Source organism: Homo sapiens, chromosome 18 (assembly GCF_000001405.40).
Source record: "Homo sapiens chromosome 18, GRCh38.p14 Primary Assembly".
Lineage (NCBI taxonomy): Eukaryota > Metazoa > Chordata > Mammalia > Primates > Hominidae > Homo > Homo sapiens.
In genome coordinates, this window is record NC_000018.10 from 79,237,907 (window position 1) to 79,259,692 (window position 21,786).

A 21,786-nucleotide genomic window follows, 5' to 3' on the forward strand; every position below is an offset into this window, starting at 1 on the left:
CTCAGAGTCCTGGCCTCAAGTGATCCTCCAGCCATGGCTTCTCAAAGTATTGGAATTACAGATGTGAGCCACTGTGCCTGGCTTTGACATTTTTTGATGCTATTTCAATTATTATCTTTTAGAAAATTTTATATTCTGTTTGCTGCTATTTAAAAATAAAAAAAAAATTTTGGTGATGTATTTTTATTTTTAAAAGTAGGAAAGCATTTTATTTCCAAATTGATTGCCTACAATAAAAATGTTGAGTTCATATACTCTGCATTTTAAGTACAGATCCTAATCAGATGTTGAGTACTGTCATGTTGAAATTTACCATGACTGGATAAGTGATCCTTTTTTTTTTTTTTTGAATGAGAACATTGGCAACTAATTCCACAATAATCTCGTGACTGCTGTTGTCCGAATGCTGCTGTCATCTCAAGGCTGTGGGGAGGTCAGTTCCGGGGCTTACGTGAGGTGGTGATTGTGGGCATCACGTCTCCGGTGCAGGCCAGGAACACATCAGGAGCATGTGCAGGGCCCCTGCCTGGGAGCAGCGTGGGCTGCTGCTGTTCCGGCCGGGCTGTAGCTGGACTCTGAGGACCAGGTTGCTTCTCCATTTCTGTGCCCCCTCCGTGTACTCCCTGGTCTTGGGAGGGTGATGGCTCTTAAGGTGGTCATCGCGATTCAGACCCTACTCCAGCCCCGTTCTGCGCTCTCCTCAATTCGCCATGGTGGGCCCTGCTGTCTCGGCAGCTGTGGACACAGCCTGTGGCGCCCCGGCCTGTCCTGGGCCCTGGATTTCACGCTTCCTGTCTCTACCCTAACTCGAGCTATGGACAGGCAGCGAGTATGATTTTCCTCCTCCTCCTGCTGTTGGGGTGGTGATCTGTGGTGATCATGGAGGAACCGCTAATAGATTTCCAAAGAGGGAAATATCTGCAGTGGCCACATGGGCAGTGACGCGGACGCAGTGAAGCGGATGCAGTGACGCAGACGCACTGCTTAGATTTCAGAGTAAGTGGGAGAATCAGAAAGAACCAAGTCAGGTCAAAGGAGAAATAGGTATATTTTTATCACGTCAGTAAGAACGAGAAGACGGTCACAACTGGCACTGAAATTAGCAGTTACTGTTTCTCTGCTTCATGCCTCAGGTAGGCAGGCTCAAGGAGAGCCTCCAGCCACTGAGCCCCAACCCCCAGTCATCAAAACAACGGGGTCAACTGGGAAGGAAGGATGGCGTCTCAGGCAGAGAACAGATGTGCCCAGATCCAAGGTGGGATGGTGTGAAAGAGCTGCAGAAAGCATGCAGGGAGGTGTCTGGGGCGAGACAGGGCCTGGCCCTGGTGGACTGTGGACTGTGGACCACCGCGTGTGCCCCTTCAGCCCTCTTATTTCCACCGCTCCACAATTCATGACAAGTGCTGCATCTTGAAACCAAAACAGAGAGGTTGGGAATTTACAACAAACCAAATTAAATGATGGTGTTTCTTGCAGACACTGTGAGCCCACCCATGGAGGTACACAAACCATCCTCATAAAACCAAGCCCCAGAGTGGGTTGTGGTATGAGCACCGCCAGCCAAGTCTGCTGTGGCAGGGACAGGGACGTAGGACGATGGTGTCACGGCACTTAAAATTGTCTTCAGAGGATGATTTCCTTCAACCTGGAGTCATTGTGCCGCCATTGTCTAGCATTGTGCCATGCTGCTTGTAAAAAGAAATGGAAGAAAAATCAGCTTCCCTGCATGCATCATTGTGCAAGAGGTAGCTGAGGACCAGGGCTTATTTCAGGCACTTGACTGCAGTTTCTTTTATCATGTAAATTTCTTTCATGTAAGTTACATGATAGTCCTTTAGGAGTAATGTGTTTTCTCACCTTGCTGTTTTCTCGAGAGCATTGTTTTGTGAGGGCGGTTGATCATCAGTTAATTATTACACGGAGGCGTTACTGAAGAGGCATCTGAATGTGGCTGGGAGAGCATGGTTCCTGAGGGCTAAGCGTTCCCAAAGGATGAGCGGAGAGGCTTGCTCTGCCTGCGTCCCCATCAGCGGTGACCAGCAGATCACCACGCCTCAGGGGCCCCACACCCGCGGTCTCTTCCTAGAGCTGCAGTCCCAAGCTTGCCTGCGCTCTCTGGAACCCTCCAGAGTGTTCTCAGCGCAGCCCACTTTGGTAGCACAGGAGGAGAGCCCTCCAGCTAGAAAGCTCCAGTAGAAGCTGGCGAAGTGAGGTGAGGGCATTGTCCTCAGTGACTTTGCTGGACTCAATATTCCCCTCTGTTAAGGGCCTACTGCCTTGGTAGGTCATTTGGATTACAACATTAAATTATTTCATGTAGTCTCTTCTCCTTTTCTCGAAGGGCAGTAATTGATACCAGTTGAGCAGGAAGTTTTATCACATCCAAATGAAAATGGTAGAAGAAAAAAATTTTAATATAGAAAATTCAGCCTGTTTTATTTCATGAGCTTTACCACATCCAAATAAAAATAGTAAAAGAGAAACATTTTGATAAAGAAAATTCAACCTGTTTTTATTTCATGAGCCTAATGGAAGTTTGAGTAGTTAATGGAAAGTTCTGGCCGGACACAGGCTCACGCCTGTAATGCCAGCACTTTGGGAGGCTGAGGCAGGCGGATCACCTGAGGGCAGGAGTTCGAGACCAGTCTGACCAACATGGACAAACCCCGTCTCTACTAAAAATACAAAATTAGCTGGGTGTGGTGGTGCATGCCTGTAATCCCAGCTACTCCAGAGGCTGAGGCAGGAGAATCGCTTGAACCTGGGAGGTGGAGGTTGCGGTGAAGCCGAGATCGTGCCATTTTACTGCAACCTGGGCAACAAGAGCGAAACTCCGCCTCAAAAAACAACAGAAAAAGAAGGTTCAACCAGAGACATCCAATTTTGAGAATAAAAATAATGTCACTTCTAAAGCATACTAGTGGGCCCTGGGAACCTTGGCATTTGGCAGTGTCGGGCCAAGGATGCAGAACTGAAGTTGGGGACGGGGAGCTGCTCGGTCTCCAAGCTGCCATGAGCTGTGTGTTCTTGACCAAACACCTAACCTCCTTAGAAGTGGAATAGACATAGTAAGACCTGGCAGAGTTAGGAAGGCTGAATAACAGACATTACACAGCAGCACTTGTTAATTGTAAAGGGCTATTGGGTTGTAAGCTGCTTGTGGTCATGAGGGTGGAAAAATGAATCACTTATAATTTGTTAATAAATTTAAACCAAAACTTAAGCTGTTTTATGTATTAGTTATTAGTGTGGAGTTAGTCTCATCAAGGTAAATCAGTTATGCATTGATTTTTTTGGTTGTCTCAAGCATTTTGACTGCGTTTTTTTCTCTGTGTAGAACATGGACAGATGGGTTTGTCCCGTGTGAGAATTCCGCAGCCTTTCCATTCTCTTGCTGCCCCTCCTCTGTTATGGCCTCGCTACCTAGGGTGATACTTAACATTTGAGCAGGAAGTCTTGACAAACGACTCTGAGATTTTCAAGCTTTTCTTAGATCCCCCGTAGTGTGAGGACCCACAGCTTCTCTATCGTCTGTCTTGAGAGATGTCGTTCTTTCTCTGTGGTTCTTCTGGCCTCCGTCGTCAGCCAGGGTGCTGATCAGGTTCCATACAGAGTCTCACTTAGAAAGTGGCTGTTTCTAGCTCTAACTACAAGCAGCATTCATCCAAAGTTAGAACCTGTTGACTGTATTTTGCCACAAGACAATTCACTAATTACTAGAATTTTAGCTCCTTGAGTTTAGGGCAACCTTTTCGTCATTATGCAGCATGCCTGTTTTTATCAGCTAATATGTGTAATTACATTTAGAATAAGTGCACTCTAAGTGCTTTAATGGTATTCTGATATTAGTGTTGTGACCTAGCAGTTGTCTTCTGCTGGCTGAATAATTAGTTTGTTTCTAAGAGCTTTAGAGTTTGATAGTCGCCAAACACAAGGGCTTCCTTGTGGAAGGTTGATGGCTCCCAGTGACCCTTCGCTGCCATCTGGCACAGATTCAAGGGCTGCTGTCATCTGCTGCTAATTGCTGTCACCTGCACTTTGGAGTCCCTCAGCACTGGGATGCTGCTGCCTTTAGAGCGGGCCCCTCCTTGGGCCCACCTGTGTGTGCAGGAGAGGGAGCACCGCCGTGGGCCTGTGGTCTCATGCAGGAGCATTTTCAGCCAGTTTTTATTTTAATGCCTGAGGTATGAAAAATGGTGACCATTTTGCGAGGGTTATTAATTCGCTAAATCCAAGCGTTTTGTCTGTTTTATGATTTGTTTTAATGGTTCTCATTCTTAGTAGCCTGTTTAGGCTGGCAAGATTGTTTCCACAACATTTTACGGAAGACTTCTTTAATCCTCTTTCGTAAACTGATAAGCCATAGTCAGGGCACTAGCCTATAGCACCATATTATATTAATGTATTTTACTTGTAATTTAGAGAACAAGAAGAATATCCTGATTTGAAGTCTAAACTGTCCCCCGTGGCACTGCACAGCTGATAACCGCAAACGAGAAAGATGTGTATATCAAATAGTTTACAAAATGAAGCCAGCTGTGTTTCCCTACATACTGTGGCTTCCTGACATGCATCATTAAACCTTATTAGCTACTTCCTTTTACAAAGATTCTTGTAGTCTTGAACATTGCATATTAACATTTTCTGCCCCTCCAACTGGAAATTATTTGCTTTATTGTAGAGTGTCAACTTGCTCTAGTTTCTGATGCGTTCTAATTGGTACTTTGGAGTATAATCATCGTGTGATACCACGCCATGCATTTCTTTATTTGGAAATTAATACAGACCTTTTCACTTTATCTGTCAATCTGAGCAACTTTTTACACAATTCTCAACTCTTGGGATTGCTTACAAGCCATTAAGTATGAAATGGCTCATAAAGTGTCTCTGAAGACATAAAGTAACACAAAAATTTTAGATGGTTTAAAATAATGTTGCATTTTGCCAAGATACCAGTAATAAACCTCTTAGACAGTTTTAATAATAAAAGGGTGATTATGCAAGATGAAAAGTTTATTTAACCATATTACCTTTATCATTTAAAATTCTCAGCAAATCTGCCAGTTCATTTTCCTTACAAAAGAATACAAATCCTAACAACCATGGATTTTTGAAAACGATGTAATTCAAAGTTAGCTATTAGACTGCTATAACTATCCTTCATTCTTCTTTCTCTTTCTTTGCTATTCTATGTCTGCAATTCTGCTATTCTGCCTTAAAAATTAAAACGTTTACCTATTATTAGCTTCTGGTTAATAGCTAGTTAAGCAGATGTGTGGGCGGAACAGAAAATGTACAGAACCTAGTGACTTTGTTCACGATGATAGTAATTCTGAGGTGTTTCAGACATTGGTCAGCATTTTATATATCCTCATGTTTTTAATATAATTATAAATAGGTGAATATGCATTTAATTGCAAGGGGAATGAAATAGAATACTGATTGTAGTTCTGATCAGCAAATATTTTAGTCATACGTCTTGTCAAGACAGCTAATGGCTCTTGATTTAAAAATAGTGTTGAGTAGTTTTACATAGTGGTAGGTGCCAGATATCTGGAGAATGGGATGGAGATCTTCCAGTGGCTTATAAATCCCCACATATTTACACAATAAGCCAAGAAACACAGAAGGAGAGTGTGACATGTTACTTGACAGTGACAGCCTTGTGTCCTTGACTAGGTCCTGTAACATCTCTTCTGTGCTGATTCTGATACACCTGTATGTAGGTTATCAAGGTGGTGGAAACATGCTGAAGTCAGCTGGACCACAGTTGAGCACTTAAGCATTAAGGAATTTTCCTGATCATTGTCATTTTGTGGTGGTTTCTAAGATACTGTTAGAAGAACAATTAGCAACTTCAAATGCTATGTTTAGTGTTTCAAGTAGCCTTAATGAAACCAGACTTTCTGGAATCTCACATAAAAATGTTTTTCACTGATACTGTTTAGTAAATTCCCTTGCACAAACCATTAAATATGTTATACTTGTTGGCATGCCAAAGCAAGAATTCGGATGCCAACATTTTGAAATTAATTACTGAAGAAATTTCTCACTTTACTGTAGAAACTAATCTGTATCATTACCTCTTAATAAAGATAATCTAAGTTGGAAATTAAAGTTTTAATTATAAAATTAGTGATCTTGTTTACTAATAATCATTTAACCATTCTCTTTTCTAAAATTTTATAAGAGAAATAAGCAGGTGGAAAGTAGTCTCCCCACTACCCCCCCTCCGCCCCCTCTATTCTCCGCAGTTTCTTTAAAAACACAGTTTTCATGGCCATGTTCCAGGCAGGCTCCATGGAAGGAGGGCTAGGCTGGTGCCTGTCTGCTGGGCCACCCCCCTGCCCTCCTGTGCACCTACATTTGCAAGGACTCACTTTGCTTGTGGAAAGGAATGGTCCCATCTATTTTTCTCTTCTGAATCACAGCCTTTTCCCACCATCTATGGCCCAACATTTCCAAGGTACTTACTGGAATAATTTCTTCAATATCTCACATTCTGAACACTAGAAACGCATCAACTAATTTTTTTTTTAAGCTCCTTGAAAAGAGTTCAAAGCTCTTTGAAGGAAAGACAGACCTTGTGCTTGGGAATTTCGGAATACTGTGACATTAGAAGCCCTGACCACATATTTAGTAACTTTCTTCATGAGTTTTTAATAGAATCTGATGACATTTTAGTACTACACAAGATTTTTTGTTCAGCAACATATTTTGTAAATTATACTGTAATGAATATTTAAAAGTATATTTTAAGAGTGTTTCTACCCTACCCTGAGATATTTAAAATAAAGACTTGCTACATTCAGGGTAAAATAAAAAGGCAGATACCTCCCAGAAGAAAGATTTGTAAGGAGCATAGTCTCTTCAGTGTGTACTATTAGAAACAGACTGAGAAAATGAAAGGAGATGCGTGCTCTGTATTTTAAATCATTTTAAAGAAAGCCATGGTCTTCCCTTTCTTACCATGTCTCTTAAAGTTTTATGACTCCTAGTAAGAGACTTTCTTTTACAATATCAGTACCACTTAGAGTTATTATTAGAATAGAATCTATTTTTTATATGCTTTGGGGCAAGAAGTATTTGAGTGTGTGCCTTGTAAAGAAGCATGAAGCAGTCAGAACTCCTGGGCTCCTAGGGACCCTGAGGTCCAGTGACCTCCCACCCCCCACTGTCAGGATCTGCTCTTCTTGGAGTTCCTGCAGAGCTTGCTGGCTTGTTTGTAAAATACAATGAGAGCTTTATAACCCCCCTAAAGTCCTGGGTATTGTGTGTTTAGATAGTAAGGGTTAGAGAATAGGTTCATGCTCTTTGTAAAATACTTGTTAAAATAAATATAAAATTACCCAAATAAACTGTGTATTAGACTGAAAACCAAATGCCACTTCTATGAATGATGTTGCATGTTGAGGTTTCTGGTGTTAGTGGGTAGCTTACGTTATTGAAGGAATTATTTTAAATTGGTGGCTGGTCTTGGCAAAACCATTTAAAATTGATGCCTTCCTACATTAAGACAAAAAAAACAGTAAATCTGTTCAGGATCTTGAAATCATTAAGGAAGCTGTTGTTACAATGTTATCAACTTAGTTTTTAGCTCTGAAACTTCGAAAAGCCTTAGGAGGGCACCACCCTACTGACTGAGGAGGGCACCGCCCTACTGACTGTGCGGAGGGCACCGCCCTAATGACTGTGCGGAGGGTACCACCCTACTGACTGGGGAGGGTACCGCCCTACTGACTGAGGAGGGTACCGCCCTAGTGACTGTGCGGAGGGCACCGCCCTACTGACTGTGCGGAGGGTACCGCCCTACTGACTGTGTGGAGGACACCGCCCTGCTGACTGAGGAGGGCACCGCCCTACTGACTGAGGAGGGCACCACCCTACTGACTGAGGAGGGTACCACCCTACTGACTGAGGAGGGCACCACCCTACTGACTGCGGAGGGCACCGCCCTACTGTCTGTGCGGAGGGCACCGCTCTACTGACTGAGGAGGGCACCGCCCTACTGACTGTGCGGAGGGCACCACCCTACTGACTGCGCGGAGGGCACCACCCTACTGACTGCGGAGGGCACCGCCCTACTGTCTGTGCGGAGGGCACCGCCCTACTGACTGAGGAGGGCACCGCCCTACTGACTGTGCGGAGGGCACCACCCTACTGACTGAGGAGGGCACCACCCTGACTGTGTGGAGGGCACCACCCTACTGACTGCGGAGGGCACCGCCCTACTGTCTGTGCGGAGGGCACCGCCCTACTGACTGAGGAGGGCACCGCCCTACTGACTGTGCGGAGGGCACCACCCTACTGACTGAGGAGGGCACCACCCTGACTGTGTGGAGGGCACCACCCTACTGACTGCGGAGGGCACCGCCCTACTGTCTGTGCGGAGGGCACCGCCCTACTGACTGAGGAGGGCACCGCCCTACTGACTGTGCGGAGGGCACCGCCCTACTGACTGAGGAGGGCACCGCCCTACTGACTGTGAGGAGGACACCGCCCTACTGACTGTGCACAGCATTTCCGAGGTCCTGTCTTGAAATTAGGGCATCTTACGAGATGCCAGATTTTTATTCAGGGCCCCCTTCCTACCCCCCATAATCCAGGATGTTCAAGTATGTAGATTCTGGCCAGCATTCTGCGTGACAAAACATAAATTTAGGGTAACGCTTTTTGTCAGAAATAAATAAATGAGTGAGTGTATGTGATGTGCTGGACTGGTTGGGTTAGAAATGGCTGGCGCTTTCCAGAGAGCGGGACTGCAGGGATCAGGACGCGCGCCGGCCTCGCGCTCCCCCTGCTGGCCGCGCCCCGCGCTCCCCGCGCTCCCTGGCTTCCCCTCCCAGCCGCCTATGGGAGGTGTGAGTACGACTCTGAGACAGATGACTCTGAGACAGACGTGAGCACCGCAGCGGTGATCGGCAGTGTAGTGACTCCTACACTTCAGCCTCCTCCTCCTCCTGATTTTCAGTTAAACAATGTGGTGATTGTAAAATAAGATTAGGAATGATGTACATTAGAAAATGGATAGGCTTATCTTAATATTCAGTGCTGGATTTTTAACGTAATTTCTATACGTAGAGCAAAAATTAAATTTCCAGATAGTTTCTGGATCATTTTGCATGTTATCACATGCATATTTTTGTTTTAAATATGGCTTTGATGTATCACAAGTTGAGAACATTTGAAAGAATTTATAATACTAAAAATAAAAGTTTTAACTTACTACTTACCTTCCAGCCACTGTGTTGCTTTGCATGTGCTGACCTTTCATATATTGATTTACTTTGCGAAGGTTCTAATATATCAGTAAAGGCTGCCACACACTAACAGATGGAATCCAGTTGTCCTGTATGAACGTAGACAGTCAGCATGAGTTTTGTAAGGGCGAGCATGAGATGTGTATATGTGTATACATGTGTTCAGAGATGATGCTACTTTCTGACATTATGGACAATTATAAAAAATTCTGGTGAGTGGATACGTGTCCTAGGAAATGCTAGAGCCAGTATTGACATTTCTCAAGCGATCTAGGAGTCCAGCAGTTTGAGAAGATAACCTCATTCTGCACTCATGAAGCCCCCTTCAAACTTAGCAGGTAATATGCTTGCAAATTTTAGTAATAATTTTATCCTTAAAAACATGTTTATATAGGTCGGCGGACAGAGTGACAATCAATATGCATAGTCTGTAACATCAAAAGTTGGGTAGCTCCAGTTTGTGTAAACTAGGTGTGAGGGTTTACTTTGAACTCCCTTGTCTCTTAATTACGTGTCATATGTTGGTTTCAAACGTGGTTTTGCTTCCCTGTTTAGTAGCTGATTCTTGCATTAATACTTTTCTTATTTATACAAAAAATATAGTACTTTTTTATGTTAATGTTCAAGGGAAAACATTTTATATAATAACTATATAGCAAGCAAGGGAAAAAGCTTAAATTCTGAGTATAGAATAGGCAAAATGTTAAATTTCTTGGTAGGCAAACATGTAGGTTATGAAATAATTCTTTCAGAATAGACTTTAAATTGTCTATTGTGTAAATACAGGTTTTGATTTTTAAGAACTAAGGTGATAAATTGTAACATTAAGAATTGTTGTGCTGATACTTATTTAGGGAATTCTTAAAGCACAGATTATTGAGCCAACAGACTATAATGGCCAAAAGAAACCCTTCTTATTTCGCAGATCACTGAGGCGATAAACGATAATGGCTCAGCCACATCTATAGTGTGCGGTCAGCCTGCATGTACTACACACACTTAAGGCTTAGTAGTTCATATCCAAAAAAGAATAATAAACTTCAGAAGGAAAAAGACTATGTAGCATCACTTTTTAAAAACTAATACTTTTAATTTAAACTTCGTAATGGAAAAGTTGTTGCTCTAAAATTTAGTACTTAGATTTAGTGCATGAGTTTCATTTATTTGAAATGCAGAAACACAAATGAAGGTCTGAAAATTACTTATTTTTTTCTTGTCTCTTAAGATTCTACTAGCAGTGGAAAATATAGGGCTTATTTGTTTCAAAGATACTTAAAAGAATATGCTTTTTATAGGAATTTCAGTTAGGTTAATGCATAGCCCTATATCAGTTTTGTAGTCAGGGTCCAAATTCGAAATGAAGAACTGATCCACAAATAGTTCAGCTGATGAAAGACAAGCAGTGTTAACAGTTGTGTTTTTCTGTACGTAGTCAGCCATGTACAAAGCTGTTCTTCTCTGCTAGTGCAGAGTAGCATGAATGAATTGGGTGTCAGAGTCGAGGCTTTTCAAATTGTCCTATATTCACAGGGAAACTACAGGACAAACTAAAATAATTTAGTTTTCTGCAAGAGTTTAAATTGGCTATTTGAAGTTTTGCATTTTACTATTCTAAACTACTTCTTTGTAAGGGGTAAGTACGCGTGAGTTTTAAAAGATGGGTGAGAGTGTTTGGATGCCGACATCCTGTTCACCCAGGGTGACATCATCAGCAGTAAGTGTTGCACAGGCACTTTGTTGAATCATGGATAGGGCCTGAGACTTTACAGCATTCGACGTCTGCTCCAATTTGCCGTGTACATTGATTGCTTAGGAACTTAGTAGTATGATGTGAGTTTTAATTTTGAGATGGTTTGAAGTGTTGCTGTGTCATGGAGATAAGGTCTGATTCTCACTCGTCCGAGCATTCATTTAAAAAAAAAAAAAAGCCTGATCTTTTCTTGATTAAGCAGGAGAATACCGTATTTACCCTTTATTGTTGGTATAAACCATTATTTTACTGAGAACCATTAGCTATTTAAAACTTGGTACATAAATTAAAGAGGAGCTAAATGGATTTGTGATCGTTGCCATTAGTAGCATTTTAGATTATACAGGCAATTATTGTGTTCATTATCCTAGAACAGCCCCTTTGCAGAATCATTGTGGTTGTCTTAGACATTATGCACAAATTTTCCCTTGGAGATTAAAATTTGCAGTAGCATATTTAATTTTGTTATTGCAGTTGTTTCAAATAAATATTATGACAAGTAGAAGAAAATTTGCTTTACTAATATAGGAGATGACAATGAATGTTGAAAATAACTTCTAAGTGTATTTACATTACCTTTTCTTAAATAGTCGTAATTACTTCAAGTGATTAATATATTTTATGGGTGAAAAGTTTACAGTCATGGCAAAAGTTATCTGGTCTGTCCAGGTATTTAAGACATTTTTTAAAGAAGGAAGAGATCCACATCAAAACTAAAGTTACCACCTTCTTTATAGAATCTGTAACTTTATAAGTTAACTGGTTTTTATTTTAAATAGTTTATAAGAGTTCAGATTGTATTTTAGATCAGTTGAAGAAAAGCATGTTTCAGAGAAATTGAATATTAAAAGATTATTAATTGAAGTGGGTTAAAAAAATGCAAGTGTTGAAATGTGTCTTTTCTTCTGTTTTGTTAGAATTGAAAAAATAAAATAAAATAAAAGCAACCTACAAGCTTTACACTATATGCTGTAGTTTGGTTACAAGTTATATTCCAGGAACAACAGTCATAGTTCAGAAAATGCCACCTGCAAGGCACAGCCCATCCTTGAAAAGTTATATTTTATTCCACTAAATGTTTTATTGCTCTTAAGTTTAAAGGGGTTGGGAGAAGACAACATATACTTGGCTTCAAAGTGATTACATTCACTAGTCAAGCATCTGACCACATCTGTCTTCATCAATGAGAAAGGTAATAATGCTTTGATGATCTGCATATCGGTGTGCAGTGGGCGGCTTTGAATGTTTCCATCCAATACGTGGCATTTTTTGAAAGGAAACTTTGTATTCATTTCTGAATGTTTTTGTCCTGGCTTTTACAGTTCCTCACTGCTATGTTGCAGGGGAAAGTGTGAGGTGGTGGTTATGCATTTTGCAAGACAGTGATTCTTTATTTTATTACAAAAAAAGACCAACTCTGGAAGGCCAGATTAAATCATTCCTTTCACTTTTTAATGGGATTTGGATGAATAGAGTAAAATATGCACTTTGCATTCATTGATAGCATCTTTAGGTTGAGGTAATTGAGTCTTTTTTCCCTGAGTGAATGAATAATGACTTCATCTGATCCTCAGTGAGGCCTGAAACTTAGACCGCCTTTGTCACAGCAAAAGGATCTGGGCTTTGAAACATGCTCTACTTCCCTGGCTTAATTTTTCTTCATTTTAATCCAAAAACCTATTTTTCTCAATAATTCAAGCATAAACTATGTAGTAGTTGAAGTAGCGGAAATTGCACGATATTTGTCCTGGTTGTGCTGCTTTTTAAATAGAGCTGATAAATCAGCCGCTGTGGTCTTCAGCTGCCCCATTCTCAAGGGAAGGCACAGCCCATACCCGCAGCAGCGTTGGGAACTTCAGAACTGGTTGAGTACCGCTCCCTTTCCGACCATTTGTGATCTGGGGGAGCGGCGCTGTTACTGGTACTGTGGCTGACCCAGAGAAGAGAAAGCCCCATGCTGGAGCTCCGAGATGCTGCTGTGGACGTTTTACTTGGCTAGAAGGGGATCTGCTGCTGTGAATTAGAGGGCAGTGTGCTTTCTTGGGAGAATATAGAGCTGGGAATGTGCAGTCTTTGAAGAGTTTCTGTTGAAAATGAGCTGCTGTCTGTGTTGCTGTATTGCAACATGGAGAAGAGTTTTTGTGGCAGGCCAAGTGTCTCATTAATTGTTACATTAGAATCAAGTCACTATTTCATATAAAACTGACACTTTGTGTTTGAAGTGTCCTCAGGAGTCTTACACAGTGAAGTGGCCAAGTGAGCCCTGTGGCAGTGTGCGCAGGACAGATCACAGGAGGGGCCGCCCCACCCCGCTGAATGCGGCATCCCGTCTGTGTTGGTCATGGAACCCACACTCGGCACACCAGTCCCATGGCTTTAGGGTCCTTGTCATCGCTACTGTTGTGAAAGGCCATGAAGTATTTATTAACCGATGGTAGTGCTGACTGTCGGCCACAGGAAGTGATTTAAAACAAGCCTGGTTAGAAAAGAAAACTTACTATTTTATGATTCTGTTTTATAACATAGATCACTGGTGTTCATCTTATTTCTCCTACTAGATTAGCTTGTAGGTAAAATCTTATAGTTAGCTTATTTTCATAACCTTAGAGTTTAGCACAAAATGTAGTAGACATTTCAATTTATTTGTTTAATTAGTTGACTTTTCTTCGCAGCTGCACTTAATGGACTTTCTGACAAAGTTTTATTTTTGCTTGATAACTGCAGGTTCTGATGATCTCATGAGAGTTTGTGGAAAATATTAATCAAAACCAGATATAAACTAAATATATGAGTTGTGGGAAAAGGCTAGCTTTCTATTGGGCAAAGTTGCAGATTTTTCAAAAGGCACTACAAAATAAACCAAGTTATTTATTAGCTCAGTAATTCTCAAACTTTATTTTTTTTAATCAGGTTTTTTGCAGTCATGTTTTCTTTGTGTACTCCTTTTCAAAAGTTGTTCCAGATTCAGGAGAAATTGAGATGGCAGATAGATAACTAACCTGATAGAATTTAGTCTTCCGCTAATGTCACATAGATCAGAAATAAGTAGGTAAGTTAAGTACATGCTGTTCCCTGACCTAGTGATGCCAAAGGCAGTGGCCTCTCACCCTGGCACCTCTGCCCTGTGGGTACCACCACTTACAGATGAGGAAAACGAGGTCTAACAAAGAGTTTAAGGGTGTTCCTCAAGTCACACATTTAGTAAACAGAGGAAGTGGATTCCAATCCAAGTGTGTAGTAAGAGCAGTAGCAGCACACATGGGGGGCGTACTGCCCAGTAGGAACCGTGGCCACTGTGCCATGCGCTCCCTCTTCGCATCCCCTGGGGGCTGTAAGGAAAACATCCCAGAATCCCTATTTTACAGATAAGAAAACCAAAGCCCAGCTTGCCCAAGGTTATGCCGCTAAGTGGCAGGGCCAGCATCTAAATTAGCCTAAATCCAGAGTCCCGAGGAATCCTAGTTGCTGTGCTGTGTCACTTCTCCCACCCTTCCTGCAGCGCCGAGTTCCCTCTCATTCCCCCAGCCCTACTCACTGGACTGCCTTGTGGTCTTTCAGGGCTGAAAGCAAGCAAGGAGAAACAGTCCATAGCGATTGCTAGAGCTCGAAATTGAAGCTACATGCTTCAGAAGAGCTGTATTCTCTTAACTTGTGCAGTGAGAGCTGCTTGGGTTGCTAGTTCTCTCTGTTTCCAAGATCCTATACAGAATGCAGCCAAAAAATTGAACTGATGCTTATTGACATAATTTGCCCTCACAGTTTGCTCAGCTGGTAAACGATCCATAGAATGGACTTGCATGTAGCGTGCCTTACTGGGAGAACACACAATGTAAGATCTGTGCAAATTAAAAAGGTTTTATTTTAAGCTAGCTAACTATTGCTTTTTTTTTTTTTTTTTCTGTAAGACAAGTTCTTTCAGAGAGACTGCTGGTAGATCGGAAAGACATACATACTGTCCTGTTCTTGGGAACTCTCCATCTTGAGTAGAATCCTCATGGGGGAGGTGCAGAGGCACCCACACGGATAACAGAGGCATGGTCATGGCGTAGCACATGCAAGGAAGACCCGCCTGCGCCCTCAGAAGTCTCTGTTCCCGGGCTGGGCCCTCAGAACTCTGTGTTCCCCTGCTGCGCGCCGAGCAAGCTTCCAGTGCCCTTCTCTAGGCTTGCGTTTCACTTTGCCTGAGCCGGTGACCAGCGCGCCACCCTCCAGAGGCCGTGTCTGAGTTCACTGCGGCTGTGTGCTCTGGCCCGTGTTTTGTCAGTAGACCCTTTCTGGAAATGCTCTGGGGATCATGATTCATTTCTAGAAATTCTGCCTGAATTTTCATATTTCATTATAATAAAGGCTAATACCAATAAATTTTAAAGTTTTTTTTTTATGTCATCACTACCATGCATTCTGATTTATAATATTAGGGACATTGTGGTTAGCTTGTTCATGTATTATGTGTTTTTCTTTCAGGTTGGTTTGTTGGACCTTGAACTCAATCGGCTGACGAAAGCGCTATTTTTGGCTTTAGTTGCTCTTTCCATTGTTATGGTAACCTTACAAGGATTTGTGGGTCCATGGTACCGCAATCTTTTTCGGTTCCTTCTCCTCTTTTCTTACATCATTCCCATAAGGTAAGTTTAAAAATGAAAATAAAACAAATGTCTGGTTTCATTGAGTATGATTTTATTGAATTTATCTTTCTCAGTATGAAAGAAATTACCCAAACAAAGCTAGAGAAGTAGGAGCCAGAAGTTCTGAGGAATCTTGAGGAATTCTTCTGTGGAAATGTTGTTGGGGGAGACGTCATCAGTGCCGGTAGAATGATCTAGAGGTGCCATACTTTCCTGATAGTGAATGTGTTGATGGTGTCTTCTTCAACAATCAGAAGATATTTCCTGATGAAACATAAACCAGAATTTCACAAAATTAGTTTTGTTTTTTGCTGATAGACTTTTAAATGTCCAGTGCCCTTTGATCTGTGTGGAATCACTGGCATTTTAAAGTTCTGTTTAATATATCTAATATCTGTCAAGTTAGATAAAATATTAAGGCTGTGTTTTAGTAGGGACTATCATTTCAGAATGTTAACCTATATTATAACTACAGATTGGAATATAAATAGTTCATATTAGATGCCTATTTAATGTAAAGACTAATATTTTACCATATAAACATAAATCCATTTTAAACTATTTTCTAAAATATTTTAAGAAAGATATTCTTAATATATATGATTTAAAATTTTCATAGGAATGAGCAACTGAAACCTAATGATGGATAAAGTATGAATCTAGAATATCTACCTTTTGTAACAGAGAATGGACTAAAACGGTATAGAATGCTTAGGCTCAAGGATGTAGCCACTTTGAAGAGAAAGATATCTCTATTTCTAAACCAGCTTTCTCCAAAATTTGCTCTAAAAGGTGATGTCTCTTCCATTTACTTACGTCATAAAGTCAGAGCTATAATCTGTTCTTGGGATGTGTACACACTGCACTGCCCTCACAGGCAGTCACCAGGAATGAATCCAGTTGCTCTCACCCAGTCTGTTCGAGAGGTAGGAAATCAGCCTCCTTTCTGCCCGTCACAGTACAGATTCCTGTGGATGCTGCCTTCCATGGTGTTGCTGGTTCACGGGTGGCCAGGCCTGTGCAGAGAGCACGCAGCAAATAGCAACTTCTCATTGCGGCTGTGTAACTTGCTGCTGACATAGATTTTCTGCACTCCATAAAGCTGACTGCAGAGATGGCTGTTCCAGCCTGGCTTGTGGATTAAACCTAATAAGGCCCAGCTTCCCCGCTCTCCTCTCCCACCACACTGCAGCTATCCCCATGTGCCAGCTGCTTCCCACCCTAGCTGTGTCCTCTGCTTCAGTGCTCCTCTACCTCATCATTCCATGGCTGGGCTTGTCTTGTCACTCGGCTCTTACCCTAAATACCTTTCCTCAGAGAGGCTGCGTTTGTCTGCTCAGTACAGACCAAGAAACAGCCAGCCACTTGCTATCATAGCAGCCTATTGAATTCTGTGTAGATCTCTATGACATTCATCTTGTTTGTTGCCTGTTTCTCTCTTCTCACTAAGCCCTGTGAGAATAGAGGCCTTGTATGTCCCGTTTGTTGTTGTGTCCTAGTTAGGACCTAGAACGGAGCACGCTTGGGATGTGGTAGGGCCTCTGTAAGTATTTGTTGAATGGACCCATTACAAAGGCCCCATCCTGCTCAGAGGACCCGAGCGCAGATTGTCACAGTTCTTGTGCCGGCATGTATTGAGTGCCACAGGTGGACTCTGGAGACACAATCTTTGTCCTCAAAATACCCCCCGCCCACTGGCTAAGTGGCAATAAACAAACTATAACCAGAAAGTAACCTGCCTTTTTTATCTGACTGTCATGCCAGAATTTACTTCTTCAGATGTGATGGTCCTTCAGGTAGTTCTCATTTGTTGTTCAGCCTAAGCACTCACTTTGATCCCAGGCCCTTCACACATTGCATCTTCTCTCCACCAGCTTCCTCCATTTGATGCCACCCACTCCCCAAGAGTCTCCTTTGTCTCCATACACATGAATGAGCCCTAATCTCCATTGTTGTATTGTCCAGTGTCGTGTGAGAAGATAGGTTAGCCATCAAGTGAAGGAGGAGATAAGACATTTCACCTGCTTTTCTTAGTTTCTGCCAGCTGGAATGCCTGTCTCAGGCAAAGCAGGCTGCAGTGACTGACTCAGATGGAGGAGCTGCTTCTGCTCCTAGAGCTGCAGTGAGCCCCTCCTGACACTGCAGCCTTGCTCACTCAAAGACCTTCTGACGAATGGGGTCGAGTCTCTGGTTCTCAGTAGCTCCACGTAAGGCACATAGAGGGGCACATATGCATGTTTGTGCCAGCTTGAGAACCTGTCTCAAGGGTGGTGTATTTTTCTCCTGTGGAGCAAATGTATTCCAACTCCCAAAATATGTTGATAGACACTTCTGAGATACTGCTTTTTGGGTTATATTAGGTTATGCATTCATTTTTATTAGAGCTTCATGACACAGAACGTGTTTGGGATTCTTCTCCTGCAAGTTGCTTCCAGAGCCTCATAGCATGTTGTTTTCGTTACCACTTGCTTTGTGGATTGGTACATGGTCATTTTATAAATATTCCATGTGTGCTTTAAAAATATATATTTTTTTACATGAAGTTATTCTATAAATATCCATTAGATTGATCTTTAATTTTTAATATCATGTATGTGCTTTACTGTCTTTTTTTTAAAAAACTCCTTAACTTTTTAGTTACTGAGAGTGTGCAAATCTGTCACCATAATAATGAATTTGTCTATTTTCCCATGCCATTTTGTGAATTCTAGCTAGCTATATATATATATATATATATATATATATACATACATAGTGAGGCTATGTTATTAGTTGCCTATAGGTTTAGAATAGCTCTTATTATTCTGGTGAATGAAAATCTCTTATAAACAGCATTAGCTAGGTGGTAGTGGTGTTTTCTTAAATCCCATGCTACCATCTTTACACTTACTGTGATTAATACTTTATTTGCATTAATTTATGTCACCTTGTTTTTGCTGTTTGTTTTACTTCTATATTTATTTTTCTTTCTTGCAATCTTTGGAGTTTTTTAAATTCCATTTTTTCTTTTAACTTGAAGTGATACCCTATATTTCTATTATTGTGGTTTCCTTAGAAATTTTACATATTTAATATATAATATTTAGTAAAGTTTAAAGTTAAGCTTTATCTTTACTCTCCTCTCAATCAATGCTAAGACCTTAAAATATTTTAAGTCAGCTCATCTTCCCTCTCCCATCCACTTACATGCTTTATTTAGTCGACATTTGCTTTCATTTTGCTGTCCTGTTTGGTTTATACTCAGTGTTTGCACTAGACCTCCGGGCCGCAGCCTTCTTGGCATTACTGCAGTAGTCAAAGGGTGCTTCTAGCGAATCATCCTACATATTCTTGATCAGTCTTTTTTCAAAAAGGATAAGGGCTTTTAGCAGGGTAAATTTCATTTACAGAAGAATAACCTTAATGATTATGTTTGAAGTAAGACTTGGAAAATACAGTGCGTATTATTCACATTCAATCCTATTGCTTTTTATCTTGGCCGGGCGCAGGGGCTCACGCCTGTAATCCTAGTACTTTCGGAGGCTGAGGCAGGTGGATCACCTGAGGTCAGGAGTTTGGGACTAGCCTGGCCATCATGATGGAACCCCGTCTCTACAAAAAATACAAAAATTAGCGGGGCATGGTGGCACACACCTGTAATCCCACCTACTTGAGAGGCTGAGGCAGGAGAATCACTTGAACCCAGGAGGCAGAGGTTGCAGTGAGCTGAGACCGTGCCACTGCACTCCAGCCTGGGCAGGCAAAAGAACAAAACTCTGTCTCAAAAAAAGAAAGAAACAATACAAGGCAGCAAGGTAAGTGTTGTCAGTAAATAGTCAAAGCTGATGCACCGGCCCCTGCTGACACAGAGCAAATGGGCAGGCCATCCAGTGCCCTTGGCCTCTTCTTAATTGGAGGGGATAGGCATAAGCATTTAAACGAAACAGTTACATAGTGGTAAACACTGTTAGTAAAGTCAAACCGGGCACTGGAACAGAGAGAACCTTGCAGGGCTTCAGAGCAATGTGGGGCTTCCCTGGCCTGGTGTTTATTAAGCGGCAGGCTGCATGGTGAGGCCACCGTGGAAGACCTGGGGAAAATGTCTTGGCAGAGAAAGCACATTGTCCCAGCACAGCAGAGACGGCCTGTGGCTGGCACAAGTGCACTCCAGCTCAGCCTCCCCAGCCTCCAGCACAGGGCGCCTGCTCCCATCTCTGTCCAGCAAACACATCTTTTTCTAGGAATTCCTTTTTCTTCTTTGCTTTCATTAATTTGATTTTTCTTAATGTCAGTTGATTTCTTTCAGTTCTAGAATGTCACATGATGTTCCTTTCAAGACTGCTTCTCTTTCACCACGTAAAAGGCCTAATGAGAGCTTTGCTTCCTTTTGTATCTAGGGCACCTCTGTCTTTAACTGACAGCATTGAAGAGTATTGAGACTTTTATTACATTTTAGTGAAATATTTTATTTATATGGACTATCTCCAACCACTTCTTTCTTTAGTAAAATAACATAGAAAGATTTGACCTTTTACCTTTATCCAGTTGCCAAGAAAAATTAATTATAGTTATGAAAATTAGTTTACGCAATAAGCATTTTTTAACTAAAACTAATTTTTGTTTTCATACCTCAGTAATTATATGTATTTATAGTAAAACAAAATAGAAAATAGGGCAGGCTGATAGCTTGAGTCCAGGAGTTAGAGACCAGCATGGGCAACATGGTGAAACCTGGTCTCTCCAAAAAACAAAAACAAAAATTAACCAAGCATGGTGGCATGCGCCTGTAGTCCTAGCTAGTTGGGAGGCTGAGGCGGGAGGATTGCTTTAGCCCAGGAGGTTGAGGCTGCAGTGAGCCAAGATCACACCACTGCACTCCAGCCTGAGCAGCAGAGCAAGAGCCTCTCTCGAAAGAAAAAATAATAATAATAAGAGAAGAAGATAAGTATTATCTGTAATCCTGCTGTCTCCACTTAAATTCTGTCAAACCTTTCCAATGTGTTTATACAGACTTACAAATATGACTATGCATATTTATATCTACATACAACACCCACACCCCAGGTGAAGTCTGTGTATCCTTTTCTAGTGTCTGCTTAGAAAATGAGGATGATAGCCGGCTTTCTGCGGGTCTCTCTTGCTCTAGTTTTTCAGTCAGCTGTTTTATGTTTAGCATGTTCAGTCATGCTTGGAGAGACTTACGAAGCAGAACTGTCAGTTCCCCTCTGTTTAGCTCCAGAACATCTCACACCCACTTCAACACAAGGCTCTACCATGTTTCTCTCACTCAGGATGCAGTTACACAGGGTGCACGCAGGGATGAGAACCGTTGATGTCAAAAGCACAGGACACTGATTTGGGAAATTAAAGTTCACATTTTATTAAAGCCAAGTTTGTTTTCCTTTTGCAAATTTTCCGTAAAATATGAATAATGATACATTCTAGTATTTGCTAAATATGCTTTTGGATTGAATAAAGGGTAAGACTTCTAAAATATGTTTTGGTTTTGCACAGTATACAAATCTGTTGTCCTAACACTCTTAAAAGGCTTTTCAAATTTAAGAAAGTTAAGCTGTTTTATAAAAATTCCTCTGTATGAAGTAAAATATTTTGAGCTACTTGATACAATTTACCTTGTAAATTTCAGAGGAAAATATTATAGTATTTAACGTTGACTTTTGTAATTCTAAAATTCATATATGTTCCCTAAATCCTGTGCATCTCTCATAAGAAAAGGAAAACTGATGATCAGAATTCTGTATTCATTTAAAGTTCTCTGAGGTCAGGGACTTGCAGTTACTTCCCTCTTTATTAACTCTTTCGTCCGTATGCTTTGAAATGCTATATACCATTGTAGTTGATAATGCAAAAACTGTCTTATCAGTGCTGGGTCAGAGTGTTTTTACTCCCACATGAGGCATATGTGGGTGCTAGAGGCAGAATGTTGTTTGACAAAGTGATAAAGGTGTTCCTTCTGAGAACACTGAAGAACCTCTTGTAAATACAGTGGCTTTGTTGAAAGCACTGAAGGTGAAGGGTGTTTGTGTGGCTTAGGGACAGGGTTTCCTCTCATTTACCAAGGGTCTAGCCTCCAACCCAGTGAGCGTGGGGATGCTTGCCTGTGCGCTTCCAGAGCAGACGGACCAGGGACCCCAAGTGCTCTGTGCAGTCA

The 21,786-nt window shown here is 41.6% G+C and overlaps 1 protein-coding gene across 36 annotated transcripts in view, besides 3 other annotated features; it reads left to right on the forward strand.

The window, feature by feature from the left end:
- The window catches only part of ATP9B (ATPase phospholipid transporting 9B (putative)), a 308,890-nt gene that overhangs the window by 168,513 nt on the left and 118,591 nt on the right, over positions 1-21,786 (forward strand). For all 36 annotated transcript variants that reach the window (NR_148360.2, XM_017025726.2, XM_011525963.3 and 33 more), the window contains one exon: positions 15,475-15,635. Coding sequence is in view for 35 of the 36 variants with exons in the window: in XM_017025726.2 (XP_016881215.1) it covers positions 15,475-15,635 (161 nt within the window). In the remaining variant the exon portion in view is untranslated. The remainder of the gene's footprint in view (positions 1-15,474; positions 15,636-21,786) is intronic.
- Positions 7,414-8,613: an enhancer, noted in NCBI's record as "MED14-independent group 3 enhancer chr18:77005320-77006519 (GRCh37/hg19 assembly coordinates)". NCBI's record gives its function as "activates an origin of replication core promoter dependent on BRD2, BRD4, P300/CBP and CDK7 cofactors, and independent of MED14, by STARR-seq in HCT116 cells {active_cell/tissue: HCT116}" and the evidence as "EXISTENCE:reporter gene assay evidence [ECO:0000049][PMID:35650434]".
- Positions 8,675-8,884: a silencer, noted in NCBI's record as "silent region_9569". NCBI's record gives its function as "represses an Ori minimal core promoter by ATAC-STARR-seq in GM12878 lymphoblastoid cells {active_cell/tissue: GM12878}" and the evidence as "EXISTENCE:reporter gene assay evidence [ECO:0000049][PMID:35858748]".
- Positions 12,103-12,889: an enhancer, noted in NCBI's record as "VISTA enhancer hs775". NCBI's record gives its function as "enhancer in: forebrain[3/4]" and the evidence as "EXISTENCE:transgenic organism evidence [ECO:0001131][PMID:17130149]".